Genomic DNA, 20,624 nt, shown 5'->3' with positions numbered 1-20,624 from the left:
AATAATAACTTTTAATTGAGTGGAATAAGAATAATATTGATAAAAGTAGCAGCTGGCCAGGTGTGGTGGCTCACACTGGTAATCGCAACACTTTGGGAGGCTGAGGCAGGAGGATGGCTTGAGGCCAAGAGTTTGCGATAGGCCTTGGAAACAAAGGGGGAGTCACCATCCCTACAGAAAAATACATGAATTAGCCTAGTGTGGTGGCATGTTCCTGTAGTCCCAGCTACTTGGGAGGCTGAGGTGGGAGGATCACTTGAGCCCAGGGAGGCTGAGACTGCAGTGAGTCATGATCAGGCCTCTGCACTCCAGCCTGGGTGACAGAGTGAGACCCTGTCTCAAAACAACAAAAAAGTAGCAGCTAACATCAACTGACCTTTTACCAGGTGCCTATTGATACCATAGTTTAATTTCTTATAACTGTTTCTTATTTCACTTACCAACTCTGTCTTCAGTTACTCCCAGATTTTTACTGTGTGTGTACAGATGACCTTTTGTTTAGATTGAATTGTCTCCCCAGAAGTAAGATTACTGTGAGTCATGGTGAATGGACATTCTCCTTACCCTTGATGTAAATTGACAGGGTTTTGGGTGCCTCCCAGCTATAATCTTAGCACTTTGGGAGGCTAAGAGAGGAGGATTGCTTGAGGCCAAGAGTTGGAGGAGGCAGTATGGCAGTATGGTGAGACCCTGTCTCCATTATTTTAAAAAATTGACAGGCTTTACCCGGGAAGGCTTATACACAATTTAAACACCCCTCATAGTATAAGAAGGTGCCCATTTCACTGCACCTTTGCCAGCACAGGGTATTATAATTTAGTAAGTCATTTTTTGTTTGATTATTTTACATAGACAAAAGAACTCATATTACTTTACTTGTCACATTTCAACATCTTTCCTCAGCTTATTAGCTCTATTTCTTTTCTGTCTGTAAATGGTTGTTGCTGTTTTGGTCTTTGAGACAGGGTCTTGCTCTGTCACCAGGCTGGACTGTAGTGGCATAATCATGCCTCACTGCAGCCTTGACCTCCCAGGCTCAAACTTCAGCATTCCGAGTAGCTGGGACTACAAGTGTGCACCACCACCCCCAGCTAACTTTTTTCTTCTTTTGGATAGAGACAGGGTCTCACTCTGTTGTCCAGACCGGTCTCTAGCTCCTGGCCTTAAGCAATCCTCCTGCATTAGCTTCTGAAATTACTGGAATTTCAGGCATGAGCCACCATGCCTGGCCTGGGCTAGTCCCATATTCTCTAGAGTTCTCTTTACTCTGTGCTAGCCAATCTCTCATTATGCTGTTCACCTGTTATAATGAATAATTCTCTGTATTAAATTTTACCACTTTAAACTTTTGAGTGGTTTATGCTTCCTGATTGGACTCTGACTAATATGTTAGGAAGGGTCCCAGGAGGTAAACCCACACAGATGGGATTTGGGCATAGGTTTGGTTTCCCAGGGGGCAGTGCTGAGCTCTTTGCCAGTGGGAAATGGGGTGCTGGTGATTTCCAGTAGGTGACCTCACAGTGACTCAAGCTACCACTTACTGTTGATTGTGACGAAATGCCAGCTGAGGCACATGCCTTGGGAGCTAAGTGGTTGCTGCCCTTGACCACTGTGAAGACTGGTGTGGGAAGGGTCGCTTTGGATGCACTTGAGCAGGGGTCCCCAACCCCTGAGCCATGGAGCCGCAAGGAGCCACACAGCAGGAGGTGAGCGGTGTCGAGTGAGGGAGTGAGGGAAGCTTCGTCTGTATTTAGAGCCACTCCCCTTTGCTCACATTCCCGCCTGAGCTCCACCTTCTCAGATGAGCAGCAGCATTAGATGCTCATAGGAGAACGCACCCTGTTGTGAACCGTGCATGTGAGGGATCGAGGTTGCGCTGTCCTTATGAGAATCTAATACCTATTGATCTGTCACTTTCTCCCATCACGCTCAGGTGGGACCATCCAGTTGCAGGAAAACAAGCTTAACACGCCCACTAATTCTACATTATGGTGAGTTCTATAATTATTTTATTATATATTACAGTGTAATAATGGAAATAAAGTGCCTAATAAATGCAAATGTGCTTACATCTTTTGGCCCAGCTCCTACCTCCCGGCAGCCTCTCCAGGCCCAGAACTTTCTCCAGTCAGCCTCTACAGACCAAGCTCATGACTCACAATGGCCTATTTAGGCCCATACCCTACGTCACGGCAGCCTCCGCAGATGAGGCTACTGCCTCACAACAGCCTCCACAGGCACAGCTCCATCGTTACAATGGCCTCTTTAGACCCAGCTCCTGCCTCCCAGCCTTCTCTCCAGGCCCTGAACTTTCTCAAGTCGACCTCACCAGGCCCAGCTCATGCTTCTTTGCAGCCTCTCCAGGCCCAGCTCCTGCATCTTGGTGGCCCCTCCAGGCCCAGCCTCTGCCTCCCGTCGGCCTCTGCAGTCCCAACGTCTGCCTCACAGCAGATTCTTCACGCCCAGCATCTACCTCACTGTGGACCCCCCAAGCCAAGCTCCCAACCTTTCAGCAGCTTCTACACACCCAGCTCCTGCCACCCAGTGGCCTCTTTAGGCCAAGCTCATGCTTCACAAGGGCCTTTCCAGGCCCAACTTTTGTCTCATGGCAACCTTCCCTGGCCAGATTCCTGCCTGTCTCCCAGCAGCCTAGACAGGCCCAGGTCTTGCCTCACACTGGCCTCTCTACATCCAGCTTATGCCTCACGGTGGCCTCTCCAGGCCCAACTCCTGTCCCAGGACGTCATCTCCGGGCCCAAAACTTACTCAAGTTAGACTCTCTAGTCCCAACTGCTGCCTCCTGGTGGCCTATGAAGGCCCAAAATCTCCTCAAGTTGACCTGTCCAGGCCCAGCTCCTGCCTCCTGTCAGCGTCTACAGGCCCAACCTCTGCCTCATGGGGGCTTCTCCAGGCCCACCTCTTCCTCTTGGCTGGGTCTACAGGCACAACTGCTGCCTCACAACAGCCTTTTTTGGCCCAGTTCCTGTCCAGCTCATGGCGGCCAATGTAGGCCCAAAACTTCCTCAAGTCAAACTCTCCAGGCCCACCTTCTGCTTCCCGGTGGCATCAACAGGCCCAGCTTTGACTTGAGAACAGCCTCTGCAGGCCCTGCTCTTGCCTCCCAGGGGCTTTTTCCAGGCCCAGCTCTTGCCTCATGGCAGCTGCCCCAGGCCAAATTTCTGCCTGCCTGCCAGCAGCCTCAACAGGCACAGCTCCTCCCTCACAGTGGCCCATTTAGGCCCAACTCATGACTGTGAGGCCATTTCCAGGCCTAGTGCCTGCCTCGTGGCTGACTCTTGAAGCCCAAAACTTCCTCAAATCAGGCTTTTGCCCAACTTCTGTCTACTGTCGGACTCTACAGGTCAGCCTCTGCCTCACAGTGGACCCTCCAGACCCAGATGGTGTCTCACTGTGGCATCCTCAGGCGAAGCTCCTGCCTTTCGGCAGCCTCTCCAGGCCCAGCTCCTCCTGCCTCCCAGTGGCCTCTTTCGGCCCAGCCCAGCTCATGCCTCCCGGCGGCCTTCCCAAGCCCCGCTTTTGACTTTCGGTGGCCTCTGCAGGCCTCGACAAGGCCCAGCCTCCTGCCTCCCGAAGGCCTGCACAGGCCCAGCCTCTGCCTCACAGCGGACTCTCCACGCCCAGCTAGCTGTTGCTTCACTGCGGCCTCCCGAGTCCAAAGCTCCTGCCTCTCGGCCGCTTCGGCAGGCCCAGCTCCCGCCTGCCAGTGGCCTCTTCAGGCCCATGGGGCTCATTCCTGACAACGGCCTTTCCAGGCCCAGTTTTTCCCTTCCGGCGGCCTCTCCGGGCCCAGAACCTCCTCAAGTCGGCCTCTCCAGACCCACTTGCACCCTCCGGGCGTTCTCTCCGGGCCCAGCTCTTCTTCCTGGTTGGGTCTCCAGGCCCGATTCCTGCCTCTCAACAACCTCTTTGGACTCAGTGCCTACCCATCTCCTGGCGGCCTTGGTCGGCCCACAGCTTCCTCAAGCCAAGCTCCCCAGGCCCAGGTCAGGCCTCACGGTGGCCTCTCCAGGATGAGCTCCTGCCCTCCGATGGCATCTCCAGGCCCCAAATGGTCTCCGGTCGGTGGGCTCCTCCACGCCAAGGTTGGGCCTCCCGGCGACCGCCGCAGGCCCAAGTTGTCCTGAAGTCGGGCTCTCCCGGCCCTGCCTCCCAGCAAGTAAGCAAGCTCTTTTGGCTCAACTCCTGCCCAGCTCCCAACCGCCTTTGTAGGCCCCGAACTTTCTCCAGCCAAGCTCTGAGGGCCCACCTCCTGCCTCCTGGTGGCCTGTACAGTTCTAGCACTGGTTGGAGAACAGCCTCTGCAGGCCCCTCCCTTGCCTCCCAGGGGCCTCTCCAGGCCCAGCTCTTGCCCCCACGGCGGCCTCCCGGGGCCAAGTCCCTGCCTGCCTCCCAGCAGCCCGCGTGCGGCCCAGCTCCTCCCTCACGGTGGCCTGTTGATGCCCAACTCATGCCTCTGGCACCCTGCCCAGAGGCGTGAGCCCCTGCCTCACACTGGCTCCTCCCACGCTGAGAGAGGTCAGTGTGAGCCCTTGCCTCACACCGGCCCCTCCCACGCGGACAGAGGTCAGCGTGAGCCCCTTGCCTCACACCGGCCCCTCCCATGCTGAGAGAGGTCAGTGTGAGCCCTTGCCTCACCCCGGCCCCTCCCACGTGGACAGAGGTCAGCGTGAGCCCCTTGTCTCACACCGGCCCCTCCCACGCTGAGAGAGGTCAGTGTGAGCCCTTGCCTCACACCGGCCCCTCCCACGCGGACAGAGGTCAGCGTGACCCCCTGCCTCAACAGGCCACCGTGAGGGAGGAACAGGATCGCACTCGGGCTGCTGGGAGGTAGGCAGGGACTTGGGCCTGGGAGGTCGCGGTGGGGCGAGAGCTGGGCCTGGAGACTCCCCTGGGAGGCAACAGCGGGGTCTGCAGACGCCCTTCTCCAGCCGGAGCTGGGACTGTTCAGTCACTGGGAGAAGGGATGTGGGTCTGAAGAGCTTGGTTGCAGAAACTTTGGGGTCTACAAACGCAGGCGGGAGCTGAGCCAAAAGAGCTTGTTTGCTGGGAGGTGGGAGATGCAGCCAGGAGGAACAGCTGGGCAATGCGGGAGGCAGAGGCCAGGCCTCCTTAAGTTGGCCTCTCAGACCCACTTGCAGCCTCCCGGCGCCCCCTCCGGGCCCAGCTCTTCCTCCCGGCTGCATCTCCAGGCCGGACTCTGGCCCGACTCCAGGTCCCAACAACGTCTTTGGACTCAGCTCCTGCCCAGCTCCCAGCGGCCCTGGTAGGCCCACAACTTCCCTAAGCCAAGCTCCCCAGGCCCAGCTCAGGCCTCGCGGTGGCCTCTCCAGGCTCAGCTCCTGGCCCTCCGATGACATCTGCAGGCCCCAAATGGCCTCCGGTCGGTGGGCTCCTCTAGGCCCAGCTTGGGCCTCCCGGCGGCCTCCGCAGGCCCAAATCGTCCCGAAGTCAGTCTCTCCAGGCTTAGCTCCAGCCTCCCGGCGGCCTCTGCAGGCCCAAGTCGTCCTCAAGTCGGCCTGGAAGTGGGCCTGGAAGAGCAGCAAGTCGGCCTCCCTGGGCCCAGCTCCGTCCTCTCGACGGCCTCTCCAGGTGCAAAACTTCCTCGAGTCAGCCTCTCCAGGCCCAGCTCCTCCTGCCTCCCAGTGGCCTCTTTCGGCCCAGCCCAGCTCATGGCTCTCGGCGGCCTTCCCAGGCCCCGCTTTTGACTTTTGGCAGCCTCTTCAGGCGCAGAACTTGATCTCCAGTCGGCCTTTGCAGGCCCGGCCTCCTGCCTCTCGAAGGCCTGCACGGGCCCGGCCTCGGCCTCGGCCTCACAGCAGACTCTCCACGCCCAGCTAGCTCTCGCCTCACTGCGGCCTCCCCAGTCCAAAGCTCCTGCCTTTCGGCCACTTCGGCAGGTCCAGCTCCTGCCTGCCAGTGGCCTCTTTAGGCCCAGCTCATTCCTCACGTCGGCCATTCCAGGCCCCGTTTTTCCCTTCCGGCAGCCTCTTGGCCTCTAATTTGTTTATCTTTTGTGTATAAATCCCAAAATATTGAATTTTGGAATATTTCCACCATTATGTAAATATTTTGATAGGTAATTTATTTGGAGTGAGTTTCTGCGCCAAGCCCGAATTTTTTATTTTATTTTCCTTATTATTTGGTGTTAAACAGGTTTAATGACGGTCATGGCAACTTTTTGGCACAATGAAAAATATCGCCCACGATCAACGTGTTCTGTTCTGGGGAAGGGGGCAAAGGCAGGGTGAATCACTTTCTTAAAAAGTATAGCTCAAGTTGGGAGTGCAGAGGGAATGGGGAGAAAACCCTCCCGCTGCCTGTGTCGAAGTGCAGGAGCCCCCACCCCCATACTCACCTGAGTCCAGCCCCTCTGGGGAAAGAAGGGGTGCATGAACTCCCCCTAGTCCACAGGCGCCTCCCTGTGGCCCAAGGCCCTCTTCACACTCCATCTTGTAGCCCCAGCAGGAGCTATTTTCCGAAAAGTGAAAAGCTCTGAAGGTCCCACAATTCATGGTATGTACAGGGGCTCGGAGGAGGGAAACTGCCCAGCTTTCCCCCGGCACAGCTGCAGGGGTAGGGGGTATAGATAAGAGGAGCAGGCCTTGGCCAGGCGTGGTGGCTCACGCCTGTAATCCCAGCACTTTGGGAGGGGGAGGCAGGCAGATCACGATGTCAGGAGATCGAAATCAGCCTGGCCAAGATGATGAAGCCCCGTCTGTACTAAAAATACAAAAATTAGCCGGACGTGGTAGCGTCCACCTGTAATCCTAGCTACCCGGAAGGCTGAGGCAGGAGAATGGCGTGAACCCGGCGGGAAGAGGTTGCAGTGAGCCAAGATCGCACCACTGCACTCCAGCCTGGGCGACAGAGCAAGACTCGGTCTCAAAAAAAAAAAAAAAAAAAAAAAAAGGAAGGCCTTACTCCGTCCCAAACTGAAAGGATTAAATGGCTTCACCTGGGAGAAGATAACCATCCTGCCCTCCATTGCTACCCCCACATACTGTCCATGTTCTCAGGGGGTACTGTGAGTCCTGGGATCTTTGGGGTTGCCCACCTGCCTGTGGTAGTTATGGAGACCCCCAGGTGTTGAGGCAGGGCTGGGGTGTCCCCTTCCAACCAGGCTGTCAAGGCCCCAACTCTGGGGCAGAGGCAGTGGCAGGGCAGCCAGGGTTGTGCCAGAGCCTGAGCAGGTTGAGGTGGGGTCAGGCAGGGCTGGGAGTCAGGGCAGGGGCAGCAGCAGTGGACCTGCTATGCACACATCTTCTTCTCCAAGGTTTGTGTGCAGAACATCCTGCCCATGCTGCCCTAGCAGCTTCAGTTGGCACCTGCCTCAGTCCAGCCTCTGGGAACCATGCAGCAGCTCCCAGCGGCCCTGCACCCACCACCAGCATCCGTTTCACCTGCAGTTGAAGATCCGTGAGGTGCCCAGAAGATCATGCAGTCATCAGTCCCACGGAGCAGCCTGCGAGGCTGAGGCTCCTCCCACTGGACCGCCCCCCAACTGGCACCACTGCTGCCCCTGCCCCTACTCTCAGCCTCACGTGACTCTCGGGCAGAAGCAGTGGTGGGGCAGCCAGGGCAGCGTCAAGAGTCTGAGCCAGGTGAGGTGCGGTCAGGACCCCCACAGGGCTGGGAGTCAGGGCAGGGGCAGAACAAACCTTGGAGGGGAAGATGTGTGCATAGTGGGCCTGGAGGGCGGCTGTGGCCTAGTGGACAGGAAGAAGCAGTGGGCCTGGAAGAGCTGCATGATCAGGGCCGGCACTGGTCCAGGGTACGTGCAGTGAAGAGGACAGCGCCTTCTCGGTCTCCGGTTCCCTGAGCCTGTCCTCGGCTTCTCCACCTGTACAGGCAAAGGGGAAGCTGTCCCCATCACACATGGCACACTTGGGGGTGTTGGGCTTTGGACTGCAGCTGGAGCATCTTCTCGTCTTGCATTTGGGCGCGGTGGGGTCCTCCAGTGTGGGATCCATGTCCGTGGGGTTCCCTCTGCCCCGACCCCGAAAGCCCAGTCAGTTTCTCTTCAGGCTCTGCCCCCCGGGTGGCTCAGCCCAGCTCCTGCCTAGGAAAGCCTTAGTGTTGGGAGGGACCCTGATGACTGAGGAGCCTGGTAGCTCCAGGTCGCCCACACTTTCAGGTCTCTTGCACCAGAAGGTGGCAGGATCCATTGGGAGGAAACAGGCCACCTTGGAAGGCGTCCCTGGGCCCCCATCCCCAGGGGTTGGGGCCGTAGGGGGCCCGCTCTGCTGCGTTGACCAGACTCCTGGGCTTTGAAGGCTCCTGGGCCCAGTAAGAAGGAGGTGGGTGCCAAGGTTGAGGAGGAAGCATCCGAGTACGTGTAGGAGGAGGACAGGGTGTGACCATAGACTGCCAAAAGCTGCAGGTGGATCGGGGGACCCTGGGGGCTCAGGATCCAGCAAGGGGCGGCAGGAGTAAAGGAGGAAGGAATGACAGGTGCAAATACCTTCCCACCAAAGCCCTTGTTGCCCTCTGGCTCCTCCCCAGAGTTGTCCCCACTCTCAGTCGGTCACCCACTCCTTGAACTTGAGATCGGTGTCGGTGGTGCTAAAGCCATCATCAGCAATGACATCATCACCCCCTCCTCCTCATGGATGACCGTGTGCTCTTCGTCACTCGCTATGACCTCGCTGGCCATGTGCTGGGAATGAGCAGCTCACGTGGGCGGCAGCAGGGCTGCCCACGGGTCACCTCCCTCACCAGGGGCTGCAAAGTGGCCTGGAGCTCCATGCTGAGTAGAAGGCTTTGGGCCAGAGTATGATGCAGTGCCAGACACCACCTGTGTCAGTTCCCGTAGTGCCTGACGGTCTATTTCCCTGCCGTCCAGGCTGTGTACCCCGCTGTGGGAGAAGGCTTGGGCCAGGCTGAGCCAGGTTCCCTGACTGTGTGCAGCCGTTCTGCCCCACAGAAGCTGCTCCTTGGTATCCGAGCTCTGGAGTGTTTGGGCTGCAACTGACAGGAGTTCAGAGGACACCCCAGGGGCAGTGGCCGTGCCCGTCTCTGATATGCTCCGCTCCCACGAGCCCTTGTTACACTCCTGCTAGCCCCTGGCTTGTGGGCTTGGCCTCTGAGCTGGACTTCTTTCGGTCCTTGTTGCAAGTGGGCCACCTTCACCTGGAAGGCCAGGTTGTATTTCTGCATCTCATTGGGCCCCAGGGTGTACCACCGCTCGCTCAGCATCTGGCTGACGGTCCGGTTATCCTGGTTGGGGTGACCCTGGTGCGCCCCGCCAGGGCCTGGTGCCGCCTGCTGAAGATCATGAGCGCCACTCATGGGCCACCGGATGTGGTCCTTGTCTGATTTGTTGGGGCTGCGTCCATCCTTCTCAGAAGATGAGTCCTGTTCCTTGCGCAGGGCACTGAGGGACTGGGCCTGACATCATCTGAGTGGTAGAGGCAACTGGGTGTCAGGAGACATGATGGAGAGGAAAGCATCATCATGGTCATTCTCTGTCTCACTGTCCAGCAGGGACTCCCCTGAGGGGCCCAGGGCTCCTCCTCCATGGTGGGAGGTGAGCTTTTACCAGGTTCCACCACCCCCAAAGTGTGTGGGGTTGCGGGCCCTGGGCTTTCAGGGCAGGTGGCTCCAGGGGGCCGCCCAGGGTCAACACTCCCTGTCCCACCTGGTGGACGCTCATGAGCAACGGCTGCCAACTTGGCAGGTTGTTTTCTCTGGTTGGAGGCCACTGAGTGACTGGCAGGTTGCTGGGCCTCGTGTGGCTGCAGGGAGGGGTCAGGAAGGGGATGGAGTACCAGGAGAACACGGCCGCAGAGTGACCTTCCACATTCCTCCACACGAACATGCTGACGCCACGGGAGGCCTCACTGAACGCAGGCCTGGGGGCCGAGCACTTGGTCCGGGCAGGGGGTTCCTGGCAGGGGCTCACACCTCCTCGCCCCCTCCTCAGCCAAGGTGGCTTGGGCCCAGAGAAGGGGAGGTTGGAGAGGAGCAGAAGGCCAGGCCTCAAGTTTTGTTTTTTTTGTTTGTTTTGTTTTTTGTTTTTGAAATGTAGTTTGACTCTTGTCACCCAGGCTGGAGTGCAGTGGCACGATCTCAGTGGCCTTCATACCTGGCTAATTTTTTGTATTTTTACTGGAGGTGGGGTTTTGCCATGTTGGCCAGGCTGGTCTTGACCTCCCGACCTCAGGTGATCCACCCACCTCAGCCTCCCAAAATGGGATTACAGGCATGAGCTACCGCTCCCAACTTCATTCATTTTTACTTGAAAAACTCCGTTAAGCATTTTTTTAAGGTAGACCTAGTGGTCCTGAATGCCCTCAGCTTTGTTTGTCGAGGAAACACGTTATTTCTTTTTCCTTTCTGAAGGACAGCTTTGTCAGACATAGTATTAGTTGCTGGCAGTTTTTTTCTTTCAGCACTTTGAATGTATTATTCGATTCTGTCCTGACCTGCAAAGTTTCTTTAACTTTTGACTATTTGATTATATTGTGACTTGGTGAGTATCTATTTGGTTTGAACCTCTTTAGGAATCTTTAAGCTTCATGGATTTAGATGTCTAAATCTTTCCCATGATTTAGGCAGTTGTCAGCCATTCTTTAAATAAGCTTTATTCTCCTTTCTCTACTTTCCTTCTCAAACTCCCATAACCTGACAATGGTTTGCTTAATGGTGTCTTGTTGGCTTTCTTTTCTCTGTCTCTTTTTTTTTTCTTTTTGAGACAGAGTCATGCTCTGTCACCCAGGCTGGAGTGTAATGTGTGGTCTCGGCTCACATTGCACTCCAACCTCCGCCTCCTGGGTTCAAGCGATTCTCCTGCCTCAGCCTCCTAAGTAGCTGGGACTACAGGTGTGTGCCACCACACCCGGCTAATTTTTGTATTTTTAGTAGAGATGGGGCTTTGTCATGTTGGACAGGCTGGTCTTGAACTCCTGACCTCTTAATCTGCCTGCCTCGGCCTCCCAAAGTGTTGGGATTACAGGCTTGAGCCACCACACCCAGCCTTCTTTTCTCTCTTTTATTCTTTTTTTCTCTGTCCTCTGACTGGATAATTTCGGAAGATCTATATTCAAGTTTACAGATTCTCTCTCCTGTTGAAGTTGACTATTGTGTTATATCACCCAGTCTGGTCTTGAACTCCTGGGCTCAAGCGATCCTCCCACCTTGGCCTCCCAAAGTGCTGAGTTTACAAGCATGAGCCACTGCATCCAGTCAGTCCCAGCACTTTGGGAAGCTGAGGTGGGAGGATCACTTGAGCTCAGGAGTTTGAGACCAGCCTGGGCAACGTACTGAGAACTTGTCTCTATATTAAAAAAAAAAAAAAAAAGTCTTTGGGAGGCCAAAGCGGGAGGATCACCTGAGGTCAGGAGTTCGAGACCAGCCTGGCCATCATGGCAAAACCCCATCTCTACTAAAAATACAAAAATTAGCCAGGTGTGGTGGCACACGCCTGTAGTGGTGGTGCATGCCTATAGTCCCAGCTACTCAAGAGGCTGAGGCAGGAGAATCACTTGAACTGGGAGAGGGAGGTTGCAGTGAGCTGAGATCGCACCAGTGCACTCCAGCCTGGGCAACAGAGTGAGACTCCATCTTATAAAAGGAAAAAAGAAAGAAAAGAAAAATTCCATATCTGAGTGTTTACTCCTGAGTTTTTGAGATTGTTATTAAGATCGTGCTCTACTGTGATGATTTGGGTTTGTTTGATAATCAGAAAAAAAGCGTATTCTTTTAGGTGTTCAGCCACACTGCTTTGGTGTCACAACTGCACATTGGTTTCACAGCTGCAGGACAAGTTCGAGCATCTTAAAATGATTCAACAGGAGGAGATAAGGAAGCTCGAGGAAGAGAAAAAACAACTGGAAGGAGAAATCATAGATTTTTATAAAATGAAAGCTGCCTCTGAAGCACTGCAGACTCAGCTGAGCACCGATACAAAGAAAGACAAACATCGTAAGAAGCAATAGTTTCTCTTACTATTCTGAGAGCCTTATCATTCTACATCCCATCTTCCTGTGAGTTTGTCTTTGTAGCATTTAACTCTAATTGCAGTTCTCATTTTAAAAACTGGCTTGCTTATTGTATATTTTCCCCAACTAAAGCGTGAACTCCTAGCAGGGCGTGGTGGCTCATGCCTGTAATCTCAGCACTGTGGGAGGCCGAGGTGGGTCGACTACCTGAGGTTAGGAGTTCGAGACCAGCCTGACCAACATGATGAAACGCTGTCTCTACTAAAAATACAAAAATTAGCTAGGCGTGGTGGCTGGGACCTGTAATCCCAGCTACTTGGGAGGCTGAGGCAGGAGAATCACTTGAACCCTGGAGGTGGAGGTTGCAGTGAGCAGAGATCTCACCATTACACTCCAGCCTGGGTGACAAGAGCAAAACTGCATCTCAAAAAAAAAAAAAAAAAGGGGGTGAACTTGAAGGCAGGTCCTGTGTCCATCTTTTCAGATTCTGTATCCCAGCACTTAGGACATAGACAAACACGAAGATGACAATCAATATTTGCCAAAATGAAAAAACAAAAGAAACATGTAACATCATGTAAAAGAAGCTGGTTAGGTGGAGAAATTTATTTACCATAGTCTTGCTTGTGGATCCAGTAGTGACTTTTACAGTTTGTATCTAAATAGAAGCTGGAGGCTTTGTTGGGGACTCATAGGCATAAAATATTATTTATTATAGAGTTAAATGCTACAAAGACAAATCTAATTAATAGGCCTATTTTCCTTTTTAAATTCTACTCATAATTTCTTCATAGTTTTTATGATAAAAGGTTGGATTTTGATTAGAACTCCCATGATTTTGTGTCAGAATTAAAACTGGTATTAGAATAAATAATTCAAAAGCTAGAGAAAGAGTACAAAGAGAAGCCATGAGTTGCATTTGAATTATAATATTATGTCTTACAGATTTGGGGTATATGCTAAAGTTACCAAAGTTGTAGAAAATAAGGCCGGGCATTGTGGCTCACATCTGTAATTCCAGCACTTTGGGAGGCCGAGGTGGGCGGATCATTTGAGGTCAGGAGTTCGAGACCAGCCTGGCCAACATGGTGAAACTCCGTCTGTACTAATAGTACAAAAATTAGCCAGGCGTGATGGTGTGCACCTGTAGTCCTTGCTACTCAGAAAGCTGAGGCAGGAGAATCGCTTGTACCCAGGAGGCAGAGGTTGCAGTGAGCAGAGATTGTGCCACTGCACTCCAGCCTGGGTGACAGAGTGCTATGAGTCACCACACCTGGTATGAGCCACCGTGCCTGGCCCACAATGACTTTTACACATGTTGTTAAATCATCTTACAGATTTTATAATTTGGGGGAAGAAAAGTTTTACTAAATGGTCTTTTAATGGAAACTCTACAAGAACCAGAATCTTTGCTTTGTTCACTTATGTATCCATTCCTAGGCCTAGAAAAATGTCTGACACATAGCGGCAATTATTCATTGAATAAATGGACCCAGCGATAGTACATTAGCTATGCTATATGCATACATTAAAGATGTAGATTATCGACTTTCAAAAGATAATTAATGTAACTTCTTACTGCTTCTGAACATGTTTGTGAGTTATATTGCTGAGGGACCTTTATCTTCTCATTCTTTCATCTTAACCCAGTGTTATAAAATTGAAATCACCAATATTATTCCATATCTAAAATTAATATCTACCTTGTAAAAAATATCACTCTGCTGCATTTGAGAATAGACTTTTTAGGTAATAATGATGCAATCCATAGGGTTTTTGGGGGCACAGAGGGATTCATGCTAACAGAACATTTTATTTTCTATTTTCCCAGAGCTGTAAAACATGAAATTACGGTAGTATAAGGCATATTTTTACTCTTTTTATAATTTTTTCTAAAAAAAATTAGTGTTTGTTCCCTATATAACTTTTAACTTTATAGGTAAATATTTGTTTCTTTCAGCTCCAGTTTTATGTGAAATAGAGTTTTCAGATTTATGTAGCATGGAAAGTTTTAATACGTCAGAGTTACTGATTTTTGCCAATCATTTTCTCAATTATTTCTTTTTTATCTTTAGTTGATTTTTTTGTAGTGACACATTTTGTTTCTAGTCTCATTTCCTTTTGTTTATATTCTATATATATTTCATTTTTGGTTACTATGAGAATTACATATAACATCCTAGAGTTATAACATTTTAATTTGAATTTATTTCAACTTAAGTTCAATCACATACCAAAATTCTACTGCTATATATATAGCTCTACTCTTTTTATGTTATTGATGTGACAAATTATATCTTTATTCATTGTATACCAGCTAACAGATTTACAATTACATTTTATGCATTTGCCTTTTAAATTATGTAGAAAATAAAAAGCAGAGTTACAAACCAAAATTACAATAGGACTGTTTTTATGTTTATGTATTTACCTTTACCAGAGAGCTTTGTATATTCATACAGCTTGCTTATTTACTTACATAGTTATTGCCTAGAGTTCATTTATTTCAACCTGAAGGACTTAACACTTCCTGAATGTCAAATTCAGGGATAAATGGATTTTTTTCAGTTTTAAAAAAAAATCCGGAAATGTCTTAATTTCTCCTTCATTTTTGAAGGATAAGTTTTCCAGCTATATATTTCTCAATTGACAGGTTTCTTCATTATTTTAAATATATAATCCACTGCCTACTGGCCTTCAAGGTTTCTGCCGAGAAATCAGCTGCTAATGTTATCTGGATCCCTATCTGTGAGAGTTGCTCTTCTCTCTGAGTTTTCAACATTCTCCCATTATCTTTTTTTTGTTTGTTTTTGAGACAAATAATTGTACATATTCATGGGATACAGAGTGATATTTTGATACATGTATACAATGCCCAATGATCAAATAAGGATAATTAGCATATCCATCACCTCAAATATTTGTCATTTATTTGTATTGTGAACAGTCAACATTCTTTCTTCTAGTTTTTTAAATTTATAAACATTTAAATTTTATTACAGAAATTTAAATTTTTTGATTCTGAAAAAGTCATATATGTATGCAACATTTTTTATCATTTATTTATATATTTATGCATCTTTCCTTTTAGTTTTGACAGAGATTTTCTATTTTATCATTATTTCAAAAGAACTCTTACCTGTATTTATTTATCAAGTATATTTCCCTTGTTTTTTCCTAGTATATTAATTTATTTACTTATCTTCTAAAAATCCTCCATATAATCTGTTTATTTTGTTTCCTTTCTATAATTTCTTCAATAATTAGTTCTGTTCTATTTTCCATTAAAATATTTAAATCTTGTATGAATTTTTGTCAGATTAGAAATTTAGGGCGTTTCTTAATTTCTCTATACTCTAGCTTTTGACTTTTTTTTTCTGACCTAAGAGGTATTTAGAGCACATTTTAGATTTTTTATTTTGACTAATCATTTAAAATGTATACTAATCTTCAATTTAAATAAAAAACTGGTCTATAGTGACAAAAATTACAAATGAGCCTAACTAATAAATTATCAGCTGTGTTTATATGTATAAGCATGCACAGATTTTGGTAAATATGTACATAGTATATTGGTGAGCTTATTTTTATCATTCTTAACTCATTGTGTAGTCTAAACGTTGGGGAAAAAATAAAATACAATAATCAGATGGTGTGAATAAGAAAATTGTTCTAATGTTTGTAAACCAAGCAACTGTTTTAACTGCTCCCCTCTTCCTGATTGACTTCTAAAAGGGATTGATCCATATTGGGTCCTATCATATACGTCACGGTATAACATCTCCAGCTATAAAATGGAAATTTGAGAATAACTTTGCTGCTACTCAGATACATTTTATTTCAAAAACATACACTAAGGTGTTGCTGTTGGATCTTTCCAAAAACATATTCACACTGAACTTTCAATCACACTGAGCCATATTTGAACAATCTTTCAAGGTCAGCTCTGGCATAAGCTAACATTATACCATTTAACTCAGAAATTTCTTTAGTATTTGATTAATGGGTTTATGTTTGATATGTAATGTAATTTTCTAATGCTAAATCAAGTGGTAATTTTGTTAGTCAAGTTGATTTAGTGGCTTGGGAAGAAAGCTTTTAATGTTCCCCTAATTTTTCTTACCTTTGACATGATCCTTCACATGTCTTATTTTGCTTAGTGATTTTTCTTTTTTTTTTTTTTTTTTGAGACAGGGTCTTACTCTACCACCCAGGCTTGAGTGCAGTGGTGCAATCACAGCTCATTGCAGCCTTGACCTCCCAGACTCAAGCTATTCTTCCACCTCAGCCTCCCAAGTAGCTGGTACTACAGGCACATGCCACCAAACTTGGCTAATTTTTGTATTTTTTGTAGAGACAGAGTTTTGCCAAATTCTCAGGCTGGTCTGGAATTTCTTGGCTCAAGTAATCCTGCCTTGGCCTCCCAACATGCTGATATTACAGACATAAGCCACAGTACCTGGCCAGTTTTCTTTTTAAAAAAATCTATTGGTTATTAATTTGAAGCCTTCCTTTTCATAGCTGTGCTCCTTAATTGGGAGCAAACATGAATGGACCACAACTTAGCCAATTTTCTATATACGATCTTTGCCATCCTAATTTAAAGGAATATTAATTCTTTCTTTTCCTCTTTCATTCCACAAACCTGTATTGACTACATCTAAGTTCTAAATGGTGCACTGGATGTTGAAAAAGTTGATGATGAGCAAGAACAAAATTCCTGCTTTCAGGAGACTTACAGTTCAATATGGGAAATATAATTTGTTAAAATATAAAAGTGCAATTGTGTTACATGCTGTACGAAGTACATGTTGACATGTGAGCATATAATAAATGGGCTGGAGGCCAGAGGATTGCCAAAGAGAATGGGCCTCCTGCTGAGATGAAAAGTTGAGCAGGGATTAGTTGGCAAAAGTGGAGGGACGATCCTTTCTAGGCAGGAGGAAGAACATGTACAGAATCTCTGAGGTGTGATGCGACAAAGTCTATATAAAAAACTGAAGAAAGGTCTAATGTGGCTTAAATACAGAAGCTAGTAGGAGAGGAGTCGAAAAGAGGCTGGAGAAGTAGAAAGTGTCTGCATTCTGCAGGAACTTATATTGTATAAAAAGAATTTCTCTTTATTCTAAGTGCAATGTGAAGCCAATGAAGTGCTTTAAACAGGTGATGTGATTTGATTGAATTTATTACTTCACTTAACAAATATTCATTACATGCCCACTGTTTGTCAGATATTGCTGTAGCCCCTGGTGATACAGTAGGGAATAAAACAGGCAAAAATCCCTGTCCTCTTGCAGCTTATAATGGACTGCAATGTTTAATATGTCAGAGGAGGTCCACGGAGGAGTGACTTCTAAGCAAGAATCTGAAAAAAATGAGGATATCTAAGGAGGGAACAAATGGTTCAAAAGCCCTATAATTGCAAGCAGGCATGATGAAGCAATTGCAGTTGTCCTGACTCTCAACACCGTGGAACTCAAAGGAGATGGAAAGATTCCTTCTCTCCCTCATATATTTTCTCTCTTTCTGTCTATATATATAGAATATGAGACATTTCCCTAATCATTATGTGTAATTACAATTACATATATATATGTAATTGTAATTACACATAATGATTAGGGAAATGTCTCATATTCTTCTACTCAGAAATAAGCAATATAGCAATTACTGTTTTTTACATTTTACAGTTACAGTTTCAGAGAAAGTTTGATATTTATCTAAAATTTTTCAATGTATGAACTTTTTCATTTGACAAACCATAATTGTACATATTCTTGGGATACAGAGTGATATTTTCTTTACATGTATAGAATGTGTAGTGATCAAATCAGGGTAATTTCCACTAATTTAAAATGCCACCTTTATGTTATTGTAATTTATATATATACTATATATACACACACACACATATATATATACATGTCCACATACAGTGTGTGTGTGCACATGTACACACATGCATATGTGTATAGAATGCCCAGTATAAGCAATGTGCACAAATAAAATTAGCTAACAGAGATAGTATAGAGTGAGAGGAGAGGCAGATTAATCTTTGAGGAAAAGCACAATTTTATAGCTGAATGGAGAAAGCTGAGGTGGTTTCTAAGATGGAGAATAAGACGAAAAATGTAAGTACGTTGTTTGACTGAATTCAAGAAAGAAGGGTAAAAGAGAAGAAAGTAGTGGTCTTATCATTAAATGCCACAGAGAGGTAAAGATAAAGACAACATATTGTTTTGGGTTTAGTAATTTAAGGGTGACCAAATTCCGTTTTGGAGGAGGAACAGATTCCATGTCCACTAGAATGGAATGAACAAGAAATGGAGGAGGAAAATAGGTAGTTTTTCAAAAGTTTTCAAAAATATGAAAAGAAGAAATGAAGTGGTACTTGGAAGAGATTGTTGAAATGGGAGAGACTATGGTGGCTTGTTTAGAAGCAGTTGAGATAGATCCAATTGAGATAGAGATATTGACTATATAAACAAAAGAATGACAAATTAATAGTGTAATGGATAACTTGACTTTGGCAAATATTGTGAATTTTTGTGAAAGTACAACTAAAAGGCAATGTCACTCCAATAATCACCAGAGTAATCAATTTGCTTATTGCTGTCCCTTTAAATATAGTTCTCTGGTATCAACTAACATGTTTTTAACTAATGATGCTTCTTAAAGAAAAGGGAAAAGACCTTTTTCTTTCTTTCAGTCTTCAATGATTCACTGCTTCATCTCGCTCCACCAAAGATAAATGAAATCTACATCTCTTATACATTAACAATGCATGACAATTTACAAATAGCTAAATTTTTGGAGCTAACTTTAAGTACCTGAATGGAATTTAATCAACCCACTAATCTCCTTCTCACTTCTCAGTTATTTATCAAGTTTATGTCAAGGGACAAGGAAAAATTATCCAAACATTGTTTAAAACAATCATCATTAATTAGTAACACTTATCCAGGGGGGTTTTTAACCTTTCCCCCACTCAAGGATTATTCTAATGTCAGAGTAGAATAAAAAATAAGTGCAGCGATGCTGACTCTTCCAAGCTTAACATTTCTCACAAGTCAATTAGCTTTGTACTGGGAGGAGGGCGTGAAGGGCTGCTTGCGGTAGTTGTGTAGCAGCAGCACAATGGCCGCAGACAAGGAAAACAGTTTCTAGGAATTCCTCGTATATAATTTTATATTTTTGACAAGATTAATGACCCATGCTCCCTTCCTCTCCATTTCTTTTTTTGGAATTCTGTTGGTATGTAGTTACTATATTTTATTAAAGGAAATTAGCCTTATCTCTTATTATATTTTATTAAAGAAAATTATTATATTATTCCTTTATATTTTTATTAAAGGATTTTATTATTATTAAAGGAAATTAGCCTTATCTCTTATTATATTTTTTATGACCTTCAAAGTAGTGTCTCTGCTTAAAAGTGTACCCTGGCCGGGCGTGGTGGCTCACACCTGTAATTCCAGCACTTTGGGAGGCCGAGGCGGGTGGATCACGAGGTCAGGAGATCGAGACCATCCTGGCTAACACGGTGAAACCCCGTCTGTACTAAAAATACAAAAAATTAGCAGGGCATAGTGGTGGGCGCCTGTAGTCCCAGCTACTCAGGAGGCTCAGGCAGGAGAATGGCATGAACCCGGGAGACGGAGCTTGCGGTGAGCTGAGATCGCACCGCTGCACTCCAGCCTGGGCGACAGAGCAAGACTCCGTCTCAAAAAAAAAAAAAGTATACCCTGAGGCACACATCAAGCGACATGTAGAGTTCATAAATTCTGGCCAAATGGTCATACCTCAAACCTCATCAGCAGTAAGGCTCTTTACTTGCACTGACAAATATGAACGCTGGGGAATTTGGAAATGATATATAATATATAATATTATATATATAATAGATATATAATATATAATATATATAATACATATATAATATTATATATGTAATAGATATACAATATATAATATATAATAGATATATAATATTATATATAATAGATATATAATATTATATATAATAGATATATAATATATAACTTTCCATGTGATTTTCCTCTTAATTTTTTTCTAGCTGATCCATATGAATTCCTCTTATTAAGAAAAATAAAGCATCCAGGATTCAATGAAGAACTGACTATCACCTTGTTAATCATTCAGAAACATGTTGCAGGCTTAAGCCATTTTTGATATAGATACTGAAACAATTACTTGCTAAGAGCAAACTTGAAGGTATGGATAAGGCCCTGAGTCATCTTCCTGAGCTGAATGATAGTTAAGCTGAATGTACGTATAAAATATGATTTTCTAACCACTTGCTCGCCAACAAGGAAAACTTTTAAGTAGAGCAGAACCTGAATAGACAAGACATTTCTTTCTTTTGGTAGAAAATGATTTACCATCACTGTGTAGTTAATTGTAGACTAGGTAATTTTAACTTTGTGATTTATTGCCGGAGACATTTTCTTCTGTACTGTAAAGTGTGTGTCAAAAAAAAAAAATAGCGATTTTGGAGGATTAGGGGACTTTGATAAATTGCCTGCAATTCTGGCAGTATGAACTGCATATTAATTTCTCTCTTTCAAGAACATTTTTATTTATTAATTCCTTACAAAAACTCCCTAAACTTTGGAACAGCTCTCAATTGCCTGTATTCTTTTT

At 46.5% G+C, this 20,624-nt stretch overlaps 1 long non-coding RNA gene and 2 pseudogenes across 1 annotated transcript; 2 read left to right on the top strand and 1 right to left on the bottom strand.

Annotated features, from left to right (window-relative positions):
* The first annotated feature begins 1,537 nt into the window (after window positions 1-1,537).
* On the top strand, window positions 1,538-6,227 carry LOC100132287 (uncharacterized). The gene is made up of 3 exons (NR_028322.1): window positions 1,538-1,706; window positions 1,934-1,991; window positions 2,085-6,227. It is a non-coding gene; the product is annotated as an uncharacterized LOC100132287 (long non-coding RNA).
* On the bottom strand, window positions 6,164-9,928 carry CICP7 (capicua transcriptional repressor pseudogene 7; annotated as a pseudogene).
* On the top strand, window positions 11,773-12,150 carry SEPTIN14P13 (septin 14 pseudogene 13; annotated as a pseudogene).

The sequence above is a fragment of the Homo sapiens genome, chromosome 1, assembly GCF_000001405.40.
Source record: "Homo sapiens chromosome 1, GRCh38.p14 Primary Assembly".
Lineage (NCBI taxonomy): Eukaryota > Metazoa > Chordata > Mammalia > Primates > Hominidae > Homo > Homo sapiens.
This window is presented reverse-complemented; position numbering and strand designations above follow the sequence as displayed.